A 15052-nucleotide genomic window follows, 5' to 3' on the forward strand; every position below is an offset into this window, starting at 1 on the left:
TGTCCTGTTACTTCTGCAGCATCCACACTTAGCAACATTCATTCACTTGGCAGTGTTTACTGAGCACCTACTACATGCTAGGCCCTGTTGTAGGTGCTGGGGATACAGTAGGGGAAAAACACAGACAAACCTCAGGGCTGGAGAGGGCAGACCCTCTAGCACCCAGGACCTGTTTGTTGAGTAACTATTTGTTTTTTGGATTTGACCTATAAGATGTGAAAGAACAGCCAGATTCTTCCAGGTTCTGCCTTTTCCTGATCCCTCCCTCTCTCCCTACTACCAAATCCCTTCCATTTTAAAATTTTAAATCCTGGTGGGGCACAGTGGCTCACGCCTATAATCCCAGCAGTTTGGGAGGCTAAGGTAGGCAGATCACCTGAGGTCGGGAGTTCGAGGCCAGCCTGGCCAAGATGGTGAAACCCTGTCTCTACTCAAAATACAAAAATTAGCTGAGTGTGGTGACATATGCCTGTAATCCCAGCTACTCGGGAGGTTGAGGCAGAATTGCTTGAACCCAGAGGCAGAGGTTGCAGGGAGCCAAGATGGCGCCACTACACTCTGGCCTGGGTGATACAGCGAGAATGTGTTTCAAAAAAATAAAATCCTAAGACCTATTAGCCTCCTCCCCAACACTCAGTCTCAGTCTTAACCTCTTGTTCTTTTCATTGCCAACTTTTTGTGTCATTTTGCTGTCTGGTCATCTATCTCTGCTCAGCCCACCACCTTCCCCTCAGGCCTCCTTGGATGAAGTTAAGTCATTCTCTATTTGAAGAACCCGCAACGGCTCCCACTTGCCACAAAGAGGAAACTAACTTCCTCGGCCCCAGCCTACTTTGCTGTCTCTGCAGTTCACACAGGCCCAAATGGCTTTCCTTGACCCTCATTGAGTGGCCTTCCCCCCTTGCCTAGCTAGGAAGGGGCCAGAGCGCTTAACCACCCTGATCCCAACCTTAGTGCCTTTGGGGGCCAGGCGGGTGATAAGTCCCAGCACCTGGGGAATCTGGAGGAGCCGGAAGGGAGTGTGCCTTGTGGGAGGGGGGTGATGTCCTTCCTCAGCCCCACCCAGCTGTTGCCCCCAGGAGCCACATATCCGGACTTCTGTCTGGAGCTTTAGACAGCAATCTCCAGGCCTTCTGTGTGGGCTGCTACTTCCCAACTGAAATAACACTCTGTGGGCCAAAGCAAACATGCACCACAGTCAGATCTGGCCTGCAGCAGGCGGCTGACCCCTGCTGCTCTGCTCACCTGGGCCACGCCCCGTGAACATCCCCCATGAGCAAGTCCTTCCCTGGAACTGGCACAAGGGACCCTGGAGGGTGGCTGAAACATCCCCATTTTACAGATGGAGGAAGTTGGGCTTGGAGACAAGGCTGCCAGCTGGAAAGGGTGTCAGCGTTAAATAACAAGATTCAGAAAATAGGATTAAGTATAGAGTTTATTCAAGCCTAAAGCTTGAGGATGGCCACCCCGGAGTGTGGATTCAAGTTGCCCCAAATAAACCCTTTGACTAGCTGTGATTACAAGTGGACTTTTTTTTTTTTTTTTTGAGACAGGGTCTCACCCTGTCACTCAGTCTGGAGTGCAGTGTGTGATCATGGCTCACTGCAGCGTCAGTTTCTCGGGCTCCTGGCCTTGAGTGATTCTCCTGCCACAGCCTCCCTAGTAGCTGGGACTACAGGCCCTAGCCATCTTGCCCAGCTATTTTTTTTTTTTGAGACGGAGTCTTGCTCTATTGCCCAGGCTGGAGTGTAGTGGCACAATCTCTGCTCACTGCAACCTCCACCTCCCGGGTTCAAGCAATCCTCCTGCCTCAGCCCCCCTAGCAGCTAGGATTACAGGCACCTGCCACCATGCCCGGGTAATGTTTATTTTTTTAGTAGAGATGGGATTTCGCCATGCTGGCCAGGCTGGTCTCGAACTCCTGACCTCAGGTGATCCACCTGCTTTGGCCTCCCAAAGTGCTGGGATTACAGGCGTGAGCCATCGTGCCGGGTTTTTGTTTTTGTTTTTTTTTTTTTAAGAGATGAAGTCTCACTATATTGTCCAGGCTGGTCTCAAACTCCTGGCCTCAAGTGATCCTCCACCCACTTCGGCCTCCCATAGTGCTGGGATTACAGGCATGAGCCAACGCACCCAGTCTGCAAGTGGATTTTTAAGGAACAAAGAAGAGAGAGTTCCTAAATTGTTACCAAGAATTTACATTGAAACAGCATAAGGTATCTGCAGGTCTGGCTCAGAAAAAAAGATAACAGAAGGTATTGATTGGCTATGCACTGTTTATTGTATCACAAATTCCAGGAACAAGAAGCTAATGGGGAGGGCAGCTGTGCAGGAACCACTGCCTCGGGCATGGGTGGAGGAGGCGTGTGACCGAAGTCCCCTATTCACTGTACAGTCTCCCTGGGCCTGATACATTTCGCATAGCTCAGACTGATCTGAGCTATTTTTCTTTTCTCAAGTTGGGTGGGGGTGGCCCCTCTGGACTGGAAAAGCCTCATTTTTCCCCCAAGTGACACACCTGAGTTTGTTTGACTTGTTTCCCCCAAGTGACACACCTGAGTTTGTGGGACTTGTGTGGAGATGATGTATTTATGTCACACTTCAGTCTTCGCTGATGGCTTTTTTTTTTATATTTATTTACATTTTTTCTTTTAAGGTAGGCAGGGCCTCATTCTATCGCCCATGTTGGAGTGCAGTGGCGAGGTCTCTGGGTTCAAGTGATTCCCCTTCCTCAGCCTCCCAAGTAGCTGGGAATACAGGGGCCCGCCACCACGCCCAGCTAATTTTTGTATTTTTGGTAGAGACGGGGTTTCACCATATTGGCCAGGCTGGTCTCGAACTCCTGACCTCAGGGTGATCCATCCGCCTCGGCCTCCCAAAGTGCTGGGATTACAGGCATGAGCCGCAGCACCCAGCCTTTTTTCTTTCTTTCTTTTCTTTTTGTTTCCCCTCCCGAGACCGAGTCTCTCTCTGTCACCCAGGCTGGAGTGCAGTGGTATGATCTCAGCTTACTGCAACCTCCACCTCCCGGGTTCAAGCAATTCTCCCACCTTAGCCTCCTGAGTAGCTGGGATTACAGGTGCCTGCCACCACACCCAGATAATTTTTCTATTTTTAGTAGAGATGGGGTTTTGCCATGTTGGCCAGTCTGGTCTCAAACTCCTGGCCCCAAGTGAGCCTCCTGCCTCGGCCTCCCAAAGTGCTGGGATTACAGGTGTGAGCCACCACACCTGGCCTTATTTTATTTTTAATTTCTGTTCTTGTATTGCTATAATTTACTGATGATTTCTTACCCAAAGATCCTCGGCCTGTCCCCACCCAAGGGGACTGCCTTCCACCGGGGACCCCTCATAAGAGTTACTCATTAGGATGGTGTTCCCTGGGGTTCCTGTGTGTATGACGCCAGGGCCTGTGCACCGCCTCCATGGCCCATCTCCATCAGACAGAGCTGGGCAGTGGTGTTGGCCCTCGAAATGAGGCTTGTGCCCTGGCCTTTCCTGGCCTGGGGGCTGAGTGCCAAGGCCACCTGTAATTAAACTGAGCTTCCTATGTTTACTTAGCAAGCACTGACCTCTCATTTCCTGGGGCCCTATGCTGAGTGTTCCACAGCTATTCTTTAATCTTTAAACAGCCCTTGGGACGCAGGCACTATTATTAACCTCACATCACAGCTGGGGAAACTGAGGCACAGAGAGGTTAAGTGGCCTGCACAAGGTCGCAGAGCCAGGATTCAAACCCATGAACTATGGGCCACTCAGTCGCCATGCTGTACTGCCGTGCACAGCAGAGGAAGATTTGTTCTTGTTCTTGTTTATATTAAAAGTGAGAAAACATGGGCCACACGCCGTGGCTCACGCCTGTAATCCCAGCACTTTGGGAGGCCAAGGCGGGTGGATCACCTGAGGTCAGGAGTTTGAAACCAGCCTGACCAACATGGTGAACTCTGGTCTCTACTAAAAATTCAAAAATCAGCCGGACCGTAGTGGCTCGCACCTGTAATCCCAGCTACTCAGGAGGCTGAGGCAGGAGAATCGCTTGAACCCAGGAGGCAGAGGTTGCAGTGAGTTGAGACCGTGCCACTGCACTCCAACCTGGGTGACAGAGCAAGACTCCGTCTCCAAAAAAAAAAAAAAAAGGTGAGAAACCACTTAGGCTGGCTGAGAACTGCAAACATGCGTCCACATAAAAACTTGAACTTGCATGATCCCAGCAGCTTTATTTATCAGAGCCAAAAAGTTGAAACAACCTCAATGCCTATCAGCGGCTGAATGGATAAACAAAATGTGGTCCGTCCATGTAGTGGAATATTATTGAGCCTTAAAGAAGAGTGAAGCGCCGACACGTGTTACAGATGGATGAACCTGGAAAACAAGATGCCAAGTGAAAGAAGCCAGACACAAAGGCTACATAGTCTATTACATGAAATGTCCAGAACAGGCACATCAACAGAGACAGAAAGTTGCATCGTGGCTGGGGGAATGGGAAGTGACTGCTTAATGGATAAGGGGGTTACTTAGGGAATTATAAAAATGCCCAGGCTGGGCGCAGTGGCTCATGCCCGTAATCCGAACACTTTGGGAGGCCGAGGCAGGTGGATCGCTTGAGCTCAGGAGCCTAAGCAACATGATGAATCCCCATCTCTACAAAAAATACAAAATTAGCTGGGTTTGGTGGCTCGCACCTGTAGTCTCAGCTACTTGGGGGGCTGAGGTGGGAGGATCACTTCGGCCCCAGAGACGGTTTGCAGTGAGCAGAAATCGCGCCATTGCACGCCAGCATGGACAGAGTGAGATCCTGTCTCAAAAAATAATACCTTAAAACTGATTATAGTAACAGATGTAAAACTCCAAATATACTTAAAGCCACTGAATTGTACTGTATTTTTTATTTTACTTTTTTATAAAAAAATTATATATATATATTGTTTTTTCTTTTCTTTTCTTTTTTCAAGACAGAGTCTCACTTTATCACCCAAGCTGGAGTGCAGAGGCGCGATCTCGGCTCACTGCAACCTCCGCCTCCTGGGTTCAAGTGAACACGTCCGGCTAATTTTTATATTTTTAGTAGAGACAGGGTATTTCACCGTGTTGGCCAGGCTGGTCTCAAACTCCTGACCTCAAGTGGCCCACCCACCTCGGTCTCCCAAAGTGCTGGAATTACAGGTGTGAGCCACTGCACCCAGCCTTAATTGTATACTTTAAATGGGTGAATTGTGTAGCGTAAGAATTTATATCTCGATAAAGCTGTTTAAAAAAAAAAAAAACTACGTAAAAAATGAGCAAAGGACCCGAAGAGACATTTTTCTAAAGAAGACATACAGGCAGCCAACAAACATGAAAAAATGCTCAACATCATTAATCATCAGAGAAATGCAAATTTAAACCACAATGAGGTGCCATCTCACCTCAGTCAGAATGTCTGTTACTAAAAAGTCTAAAAAAACAGATGCTGGCAAGGATTTGGAGTAAAGGGACCGCTTACCCACTGTTGATGGGAATGTAAATTAGTACAGCCTCTATGGCAAACAGCATGGAGATTTCTCAAAGAACTAAAAATAGAACTACCATTTGGTCCAGTATTCCACTGAGTATCCTCCCAAAGGAAAAGACATCATTATATCAAAAAGACACCTGCGCTTGTATGTTTATTGCAGCACTATCCACAACAGCAAAGATATGGAATCAACTTAAGTGTCCATCGATGAATGGAGGATTGGATAAAGAAAATGTGGTCTATATCTACAAAGATTTCATGACGAAATTGCCAAAAGCAGTGCAGCAAAAGCAAACATTGACAAATGGGATCTAATTAAACTAAAAAGCTTCTGCACAGCAAAAGAAACTATCCTCAGAGTGAACAGACAACCTACAGAGTGGGAGAACATTTTTGCAATCTATCCATCTGACAAAGGTCTAACATCCAGAACCTACAAGGAATTTAAACAAATTTACAAGAAAAGAAAAACCTAAAAAAGTGGGCAAAGGACACGAACAGACACTTCTCAAAATAAGACAGTCATGCAGCCAACAAACATGAAAAAAATGCTCAACATCACTGATCGTTGAGAAATGCAAATCAAAACAATGAGATACCATCTCACACCAGTCAAAATGGCCATTATCAGAAAGTCAAGAAACAACAGATGCAGGCAAGGTTGTGGAGAAATAGGAATGCTTTTACACTGTTGGTGGGAATGTAAATTAGTTGAACTATTATGAAGACAGTATGGCGATTCCTCAAAGATCTAGAACCAGAAATACCATTTGACCCAGCAATCCCATTACTGGTATATACCCAAAAGAATATAAATCATTCTATTACAAAGATACATGTATGCGTATGTTCATTGCAGGACTATTCACAATACCAAAGACATGGACTCAATCCAAATGCCCATCATGGATAGACTGGATAAAGAAAATGTACAGGCCGGGCACTGTGGCTGACGCCTGTAATCCTAGCACTTTGAGAGGCCGAGGCGGCGGATCACGAGGTCAGGAGATCGAGACCATTCTGGGTAACACGGTGAAACCCCGTCTCTACTAAAAATACAAAAAAATTCACTGTGTGTGGTGGCGGGCACCTGTAGTCCCAGCTACTCGGGAGGCTGAGGCAGGAGAATGGTGTGAACCCAGGAGGCAGAGCTTGCAGTGAGCCGAGATGGCACCACTGCACTCAGGCCTGGGCAAAAGAGTGAGACTCCGTCTCAAAAAAAAAAAAGAAAAGAAAAAAGAAACCTGCACATGTATCCTGGAACAATAAAAAAAAAAAAGAAAGAAAATGTGGTATATGTCTACCATGGAATACTACACAGCCATAAAAAAGGATGGGATCATGTCTTTTGCACCAACACGGATGGAACTGGAGGCCATTATCCTGAGTAAAATAGAAAGTCAAATACCACATGTTCTCACTTATAAGTGGAATCTAAACAGCAGATACACAAAGATTGGAATAATGGACAGTGGAGACTACAAAAGGTGGGAGGGAGGGAAACAGGTGAGGGTTGAAAAATTAACTGTTGGAGGCTGGGCACAGTGGCGCACACCTATAATCCCAGCACTTTGGGAGGCCGACACGGGTGGATCACGAGGTCAGGCGTTCGAGGCCAGCCTGGCCAACATAGTGAAAACCCATCTCTATTAAAAATATTAAAAAATTGGCCGGGCGCGGTGGCTCACGCCTGTAATCCCAGCACTTTGGGAGCCCGAGGCGGCAGATCACGAGGTCAGGAGATTGAGACCATCCTGGCTAACATGGTGAAACCCCGTCTCTACTAAAAATACAAAAAAAAAAAAAAAAAAAATTAGCCGGGCATGGTAGTGTGCGCCTGTAATCCCAGCTACTCGGGAGGCTGAGGCAGGAGAATTGCTTGAAATTGGGAGGTGGAGGTTGCAGTGAGCCGAGATCACACCACTGCACTCCGGCCTGGGCAACAGTGCGAGAGTCTGTCTCAAAAAAAAGAAAAATTGACTGTTGGAAGCCAGGTGCATTGGTGCATGCCTATAATCCCAGCACTTTGGGAGGCTGAGGCGGGCTGCTCACTTTGAGTTCAGGAGTTTGAGACCAGCCTGGGCAACATGGCAAAACCCTATCTCTACAAAAACAAAAATTAGCCGGGCACTGGTGGCACATGCCTGCAGTCCCAGCCACTCAAGTTGCAGTGAGCCAAGATTGTGCCACTGCACTTCAGCCTGGGAGACAGAGTGAGACCCTGTCTCAAAAAAGAAAAAGAAAAATTAACTGTTGGGTACGCTGTTTGCTATTCAGGTGATAGATATGCTAAAAGCCCAGACTTCACCTCTATGCAATATATGTATGTAAGAAACTGGCACTTGCACCTGCTAAAAATATAATAATTTTAAAATTTTTATTTTAATAAAAAAATAGAAACTTAGGGCCAAGGGGGGAGCTGATCATTTGAGGTCAGGAGTTCGAGACCAGCCTGGCCAACGTGGTGAAAGCCCATCTCTACTAAAAATACAAAAATTAGCCAGGCATGGTGGCGGGCGCCTGTAATCCCAGCTACTCAGGAGGCTGAGGCACAAGAATCCCTTGAACCAGGGATGGAGGTTGCAGTGACCAAGATTGCTCCACTGCACCCCAGCCTGGGCAACAGAGCGAGACTCAGTCTCAAAAAAAAAAAAGAAACTTGAGAAAAAATGCTATGTAGGAGGTCTGTAGGTTTCATAGGAAGGTGAGAGAAAGTATATTACTGAGGGGGGATGAAGACAATACTCAGCCTTTAAATGTTTTAAAATGTATTTTATGAAAGTTTTTTTTTATTGATTTATTTTCAGAGGATTCCCCCCCCCCAAAAAAAAATCTTATGAAAATTTTGGGGTGGGCTGGGTACAGTGGCTCACGCCTATAATCCCAGCACTTTGAGAGGCTGAGGTGGGAGGATCACTTGAGTCCAGGAGTTCAAGACCAGCCTGGGCAACATAGCGAGACATTGTCTCTACCAAAACAAACAAACAAAAAATACAAATTAGCCAGGTGTGGTGGTACATGCCTGTAGTCCCAGCTTGAACCTGGGAGGTCAAGGCTGCAGTGAGCTGGGTGGCCCACTGCACTCTAGCCTGGGTGAAAGTGAGGCCCTGTCTGAGAAAAAAAATGTAGTTGAAAGAAAAGAAAACTTTTATTTTTTTATTTTCTTTTTTAATTTTAAAGGCAGGGTCTCACTCTGTTGCCCAGGCTGTTCTTGAACTCCTAGGCTCAAGCATTCCTCCCACCTTGGCCTCCCAAAGTGCTGAGATTGAAGTCTTGAGCCACTACCCTGGCCATCATGTCAACTTTTAAACATACAAATACAGGTAAGAATGGCCTGGTGGCCGGGCGCGGTGGCTCACGCCTGTAATCCCAGCACTTTGGGAGGCTGAGGCAAGCGGATCACGAGGTCAGGAGATTGAGACCATCCTGGCTAACACAGTGAAACCCCATCTCTACTAAAAATACAAAAAAGAAAAAAATTAGCCAGGCATGGTGGCAGGCGCCTGTAGTCCCAGGTACTCAGGAGGCTGAGGCAGGAGAATGGCGTGAACCCAGGAGGCGGAGCTTGCAGTGAGCCGAGATCGCGCCACTGCACTCCAGCCTGGTCAACAGAGCAAGACTCCGTCTCAAAAAAAAAAAGAAGAATGGCCTGGAGCCTCCCTCACCTTCTCCACCTAGACCCACTTGACAATGGGTGACATATTTTGGTTTTTGCTGAACCATTTAGGAGTAACTTGAGATCATGACATTGCGACTTCATATCTTCTGGGAAAAATAGTGTGTGCACAGCCACAATTTAATTATCACACCTCGGAACATGAACAGCAATTCCAAAATCATATGTAATATGAACTCATAGTACACGTTATAGTTGTATAATAGAATAGTCATTTTAGTCTTCCCTAAAATGTCTTTTCCAGGTGGCTTTTTTGGAATCAGGATGCTGCGAAGCTGCCTACGTTGCATGCGGAGCCTGCATTTCCCGTGGGGCCCCCTTCGTGGTGGCCCTGCCTGGAGGTGTCTGGGTCCCTCCCCCACCCGACTACTTCACTCTCTGTCCTCTCTGCCCAGGAGCCCAGGATGTGCGAGTTCAAGTGCTACCCGAGGTGCGAGGCCAGCTCGGGGGCACCGTGGAGCTGCCGTGCCACCTGCTGCCACCTGTTCCTGGACTGTACATCTCCCTGGTGACCTGGCAGCGCCCAGATGCACCTGCGAACCACCAGAATGTGGCCGCCTTCCACCCTAAGATGGGTCCCAGCTTCCCCAGCCCGAAGCCTGGCAGCGAGCGGCTGTCCTTCGTCTCTGCCAAGCAGAGCACTGGGCAAGACACAGAGGCAGAGCTCCAGGACGCCACGCTGGCCCTCCACGGGCTCACGGTGGAGGACGAGGGCAACTACACTTGCGAGTTTGCCACCTTCCCCAAGGGGTCCGTCCGAGGGATGACCTGGCTCAGAGTCATAGGTGAGCAGGGTAAGGGCGGGAGGCAAGGAGGTGGGAGGGCCGCGGTGTGGGAGCATCCCCTTGCGGGTCAGTTTCTCTCTTGGCTTCAGCTGTGAGGTTCACATTCTCTGTGGGTTTCCATCCATCAGCAAATGTTCATTAAGCACCTACCGCGTGCCAGATGCTTTTCTGTGTGCTGAGGATGTGGCAGGCAACCAGGCATTCTTGGGAAAAACAAAAAAATAAGTATTGGCTGGGCGCAGTGGCCCACCCCTGTAATCCTAGCACTTTGGAAGGCCGAGATGGGCAGATCGCCTGAGGTCAGGAGTTCAAGACCAGCCTGGCCAACATGGTGAAACCCTGTCTCTACGAAAAATAAAAAATTAGCTGGGTGTGGTGGCCCGTGCCTATAATCCCAGATACTCAGGAGGCTGAGTCAGGAGAATCGCTTGAACCCAGGAGGCAGAGGTTGCAGTGAGCCGAGATTGTGCCACCACTGCACTCTAGTCTGGGTGACAGAGCAAGACTCGGTCTAAAAAAAAAAAAAGTATTGAGGTTGGGTGTGGTGGCTCACGACTATAATCCAAGCACTTTGGGAGGCTGAGGCAGGTAGATTGCTTGAGCCCATGGTGGTGCGCAGATGTGGTCCCAGCTACTTGGGAGGCTGAGGTGGGAGGATCGCTTGAGACCAGGAATTTGAGGCTGCGGTGAGCTGTGATCATGCCACTACACTCTAGCCTGGGTGACAGAGTGAGGCCCTATCTCTAATAAATAAATAAAAGAGTAAGTCAGGCAGTTAAAGGGGCCATGGAAGTTGGAGAGGGCCAAGTTGCAATTCTAGCTAAGGAGGTCTGGGGATATTTAGGCAGAAACTAGGAGAGGAGGAGCCCTCTGGGTATCTAAGGGAAGAGCGTTCCAGGCAGACGGAATGGCAAGTACAAAGGCCCTGAGACAGGAATACCTGGAGTATTTGAGGGCCAGGAAGGAAGTCAGGGTGGCTGGAGACATATGAGTGGGGGAAAGTAGGAAGCAATAAAGTCAAGGAGAGGATGGGGACAGATTGGCAAAAGCCTTGTGGACTATAAGAAGCCTTTGGCTTTTGCCCAGGGAGGATAAGAGCTGTAGTAGGTTCTTAGCAGCAGACAGGTTTGATCTGGCTTGGGTTCTCACCAGCTCCTCCTGGCTGTGTTGGGAGGGGAAAGAATGGGAGCTGAGAAACCACAGGGTAAGGCAACTACAAAGTCCGGGTGGGGCCGGGTGCTGTGGCTCACGCCCATAACCCCAGCACTCAGGGAGGCCGAGGTGGGAGGATCCCTTGAGCCTAGGAATTTGAGACCATCCTAGGCAACATAGTAAGACTCTTGTCTCAATGACAAAAAAAATTTTTTTTTTTTTTGAGACAGAGTTTTGCTCTTGTTACCCAGGCTGTAGTGGAGTGGCGCGATCTCGGCTCACTGCAACCTCCGCCTCCCAGGTTCAACCAATTCTCCTGCCTCAGCCTCCCAAGTAGCTGGGATTACAGGCTCCCACCACCACACCTAGCTAAATTTTTTTGTATTTTTAGTAGAGACGGGGTTGCACCATGTTGGCCAGGCTGGTCTTGAACTCCCGACCTCAGGTGATCCGTCCACCTGGGCCTCTCAAAGTGCTGGGATTATAGGCATGAGCCACTGAGCCTGGCCAGGAAAGAAAAAAAAATTGTTTTAATTAACCAGGCTCAGTGACTTACCTGTAATTTCAGCTACTCGAGAGACTGAGGTGGGAGGATCACCTGAGCCCAGGAGGTTGAGGCTGCAGTGAGCTGTGATTGTGCTACTGCACTCCATCCTGGACAAGAGAGCGAGACCCTGTCTTAAAACAAGTCCAGTCCGGGCAGGAAGTAAAACGGCTTAGAAGTAGGGGACATAGTGGCCTCATTGAGATAGGATGTGCAGGGAAGGCGTCTTAGTCAAGTCCTGGAGTCTGAGAAGGAGCTACCTTTGGGCATAGCAGAGGGGCACGGGCACAGAAACCTGGGAGGTGGGCATGAGATGGGAGCTGGGCGCGTTCCAGGAATGGAAAGGGGGCTGGTGAGGATAGGCAAGGGCTTGGGTGACCCTCAGCGGGGCCACATTACACGGGCTTCACAGGTGGAGGCGAGGAGGCTGGACTATGCCCTCAGCATGGTTAAGAGCCATGGGAGGTGTCAAGCCACAGGAGAGATCTGGACAAACGTTTGAGGTTGCAAAAAATGACCGGCAGCAGTATGAGGAGTGATTGGAGGAGTGGACGGAGGTAGAAGGGAGCTGGGACGAGAGGGGAGAAGAGGCATTGCTGGGAAGACGGATGAGGCAGTGGGGGGCAGAGGGAAGCGGGCGGCATATAGTGGTGTTTTTAGAAGATAGTAGGTGCTGGGCTTGCCCATGGATTGAGGGGGAAGCAGGATCAGAGAGGAGTCCCAGGCCTGGTGCGGTGGCTCACGCCTGTAATCCCAGCACTTTAGGAGGCCAAGGTGGGCAGATCGCTTTGAGGTCAGGAGTTTCAGACCACTCTGGGCAACATGGTGAGGCCCCATCTCTACAAGAAAAAAAAAAATTAGCTGGGCATGGTAGCACACACCTGTAGTCCCAGCTACCCAAGAGGCTGAGGTGGGAGGATCGCTTGGGCCTGGGAAGCAGAGATTGCAAGTGAGCCAAGATTGCACCACTGCACTCCAGCACGAGACCCTGTCTCAAAAAAAAAAAAAAAAAAATAGGACTCCCAGCGGGAAGGTGACTGATACTTGGCAAAAATAGAGAAGGCAGGGAAGATTTTTTTTGAAGGATGCTTTTTTTTCTTTTCCTTTTTCTTTTTTTTTTTTTTTCTTTTTTTGAGACAAAGTCTCACTACATTGTCCAGGCTAGACTCGAACTCCTGGGCTCAGGGGATCCTCCTACCTCCGCCTCCTGCATAGCTGGGATTACAGGCATGAGTCACCACATCCAGCTACGAATGCTCTTTCTTTAAATCTTGAGGCTGGGCGTGGTGGCTCACTCCTGTAATCCCAGCACTTTGGGAGGCCGAGGCGGGCGGATCACGAGGTCAGGAAATCGAGACCATCCTGGCTAACACGGTGAAACCCCATCTCTACTAAAAATACAAGAAATTAGCCAGGCGTGGTGGCGGGTGCCTTAGTCCCAGCTACTCGGGAGATTGAGGCAGGAGAATGGCTTGAACCCGGGAGGCGGAGCTTGCAGTGAGCCGAGATCGCGCCACTATACTCCAGCCTGGGCGACAGAGTGAGACTCTGTCTGGAAAAAAAAAAAAATATGTTGGAAGTCCCCTGGGAGCCCACCTTCCCTAGGCAACTTCCCAGAAGCCACGTCACTCTGGATGCCTTTTCTTCCCCCTTCTCAGCCCAGAGCGTCTGAGAAGGTCACCCTGTGCTATCCTTGAGTAAACACTTCCCTTTCCAGTAACACATGAAACCACAGCCGTTTTCCATAATACAAAGGACAGCTCTTCTCCTCCCCACCCTCACAAACGCCTCTCTTCTTGTGCAATCATTTGTTCTCATCCAGAGATAACTTCAGGGCTGGGCACGGTGGCTCACACCTGTAATCCCAGCACTTTGGGAGGCTGAGAGGCAACAAGAGCAAAACTCTGTCTCAAAATAAATAAATAAATAATGAGACTCAGAAAATATGATTAAGGGCCAGGCGCAGTGGCTCACGCCTGTAATCCCAGCACTTTGGGAGGCCGAGGCAGGCGGATCACGAGGTCAGGAGATTGAGACCATCCTGGCTAACACGGTGAAACCCTGTCTCTACTAAAAATACAAAAAAATTAGCCGGGCGTGGTGGCGGGTGCCTGTAGTCCCAGCTACTTGGGAGGCTGAGGCAGGAGAATGGCATGAACCCAGGAGGCGGAGCTTGCAGTGAGCCGAGATCGCATCACTGCACTCCAGCCTGGGCGACAGAGCGAGACTCCATCTCAAAAAAAAAAAAAAAAAGAAAAGAAAATATGATTAAGTGTAGGGTTTAATCAAGCCCAAAGCTTGAGGATGACCACCTGGGAGCATAGATTGAAGTTGCCCTGAATATACACTTCAAGCAGGGGCCAAGGCAAGCAGCTCTTGCAAGTGAGCTTTTGTTTGTTTGTTTGTTTCTTGGAGAGAGGGTCTCCAAAACTACAAATAAAAATTAGCTAGGAATGGTGGCGCACACCTGTAATCCCAGCTACTCAGGAGGCTAAGGCAGGCGAATTGCTGAAACCAGCAAGGGCAGGTTGCAGTAAGCTGAGATTGCACCACTGCACTGCATCCTGGGTGACAGCAAGACTCTGTCTCAAATTAATAAAAAAAAAAGAGAGAGAGAGAGATAACCTCAAGAGCTTCCGTATACACACTGGTGCAGAAGTAAGGAACAAAACAGCCAAAGCCTCTGTCTTCATGATGCGTGAGCCACCAAGGAATAGTTGGCCAGAGTCGGCGGTCAGGAAAGTGCCCTTGACGAAGTGGGGCTTGGAGTGGGGTCTGGAGAAGGAGGCCAAAGCAATCCAGGCACAAAATCACCAACCAAAACCCCAAAGTGGGTGGAGGCAGAGACTGAGGAGGGCGTGGATGGGGAGCATGTGGAGTGGCCAGGGGAGGTGGCCATGGGGAAGTGGTGGGCTCGGGCCCTGAGTCACTATTCTAACAGCTTGGAGGGCGGCCAGGAGGATGTGGGGAGGCTTGTTGGATGCTCCACGATGGTCAGGGGAGAAGGCGGTGGGAAGGGAGAGCTGGGAAGAAGAGGAGAGTCAGACCGTGTTGAGAAGTTCAGAGGTGGATACCCAGGTCCAGAAAGCAACAGAAGATGTGAGTCTGGGTGGGGGACACACATCATAAGCATGAGCTGCTATTCTTCCTGGAGTTTTGTTTTTGTGATTTTTTTCCATGTTTTCCAAGAGAATGAGGTGGAAAGGGTATAAAAAAAAGAAACGGCTTTGAGATTTTCTGCCTTTATCACACTTCCAGTCATTCAATCATCTAATGGTGATTACAGGAAAAGGAACAGGGGGCCTTTCCAGCTGGACCTTTGAACCACAGTACTCAGTTACTCGCTCGGCCTTGATTTGCTTTTTTTTTTTCCTTTTTTTTTTTTTTCTTTTGGAGACAGAG

At 49.0% G+C, this 15052-nt stretch overlaps 1 protein-coding gene across 3 annotated transcripts in view; it reads left to right on the forward strand.

The window, feature by feature from the left end:
* Positions 1 to 15052, forward strand: part of NECTIN2 (nectin cell adhesion molecule 2) — a 42927-nt gene that overhangs the window by 9410 nt on the left and 18465 nt on the right. For all 3 annotated transcript variants that reach the window (NM_001042724.2, NM_002856.3, XM_047439169.1), the window contains exon 2: positions 9565 to 9954. In NM_001042724.2, the coding sequence (NP_001036189.1) occupies positions 9565 to 9954 (390 nt within the window). The remainder of the gene's footprint in view (positions 1 to 9564; positions 9955 to 15052) is intronic.

This window comes from Homo sapiens, chromosome 19, assembly GCF_000001405.40.
Source record: "Homo sapiens chromosome 19, GRCh38.p14 Primary Assembly".
Classification (NCBI taxonomy): Eukaryota; Metazoa; Chordata; class Mammalia; order Primates; family Hominidae; genus Homo; species Homo sapiens.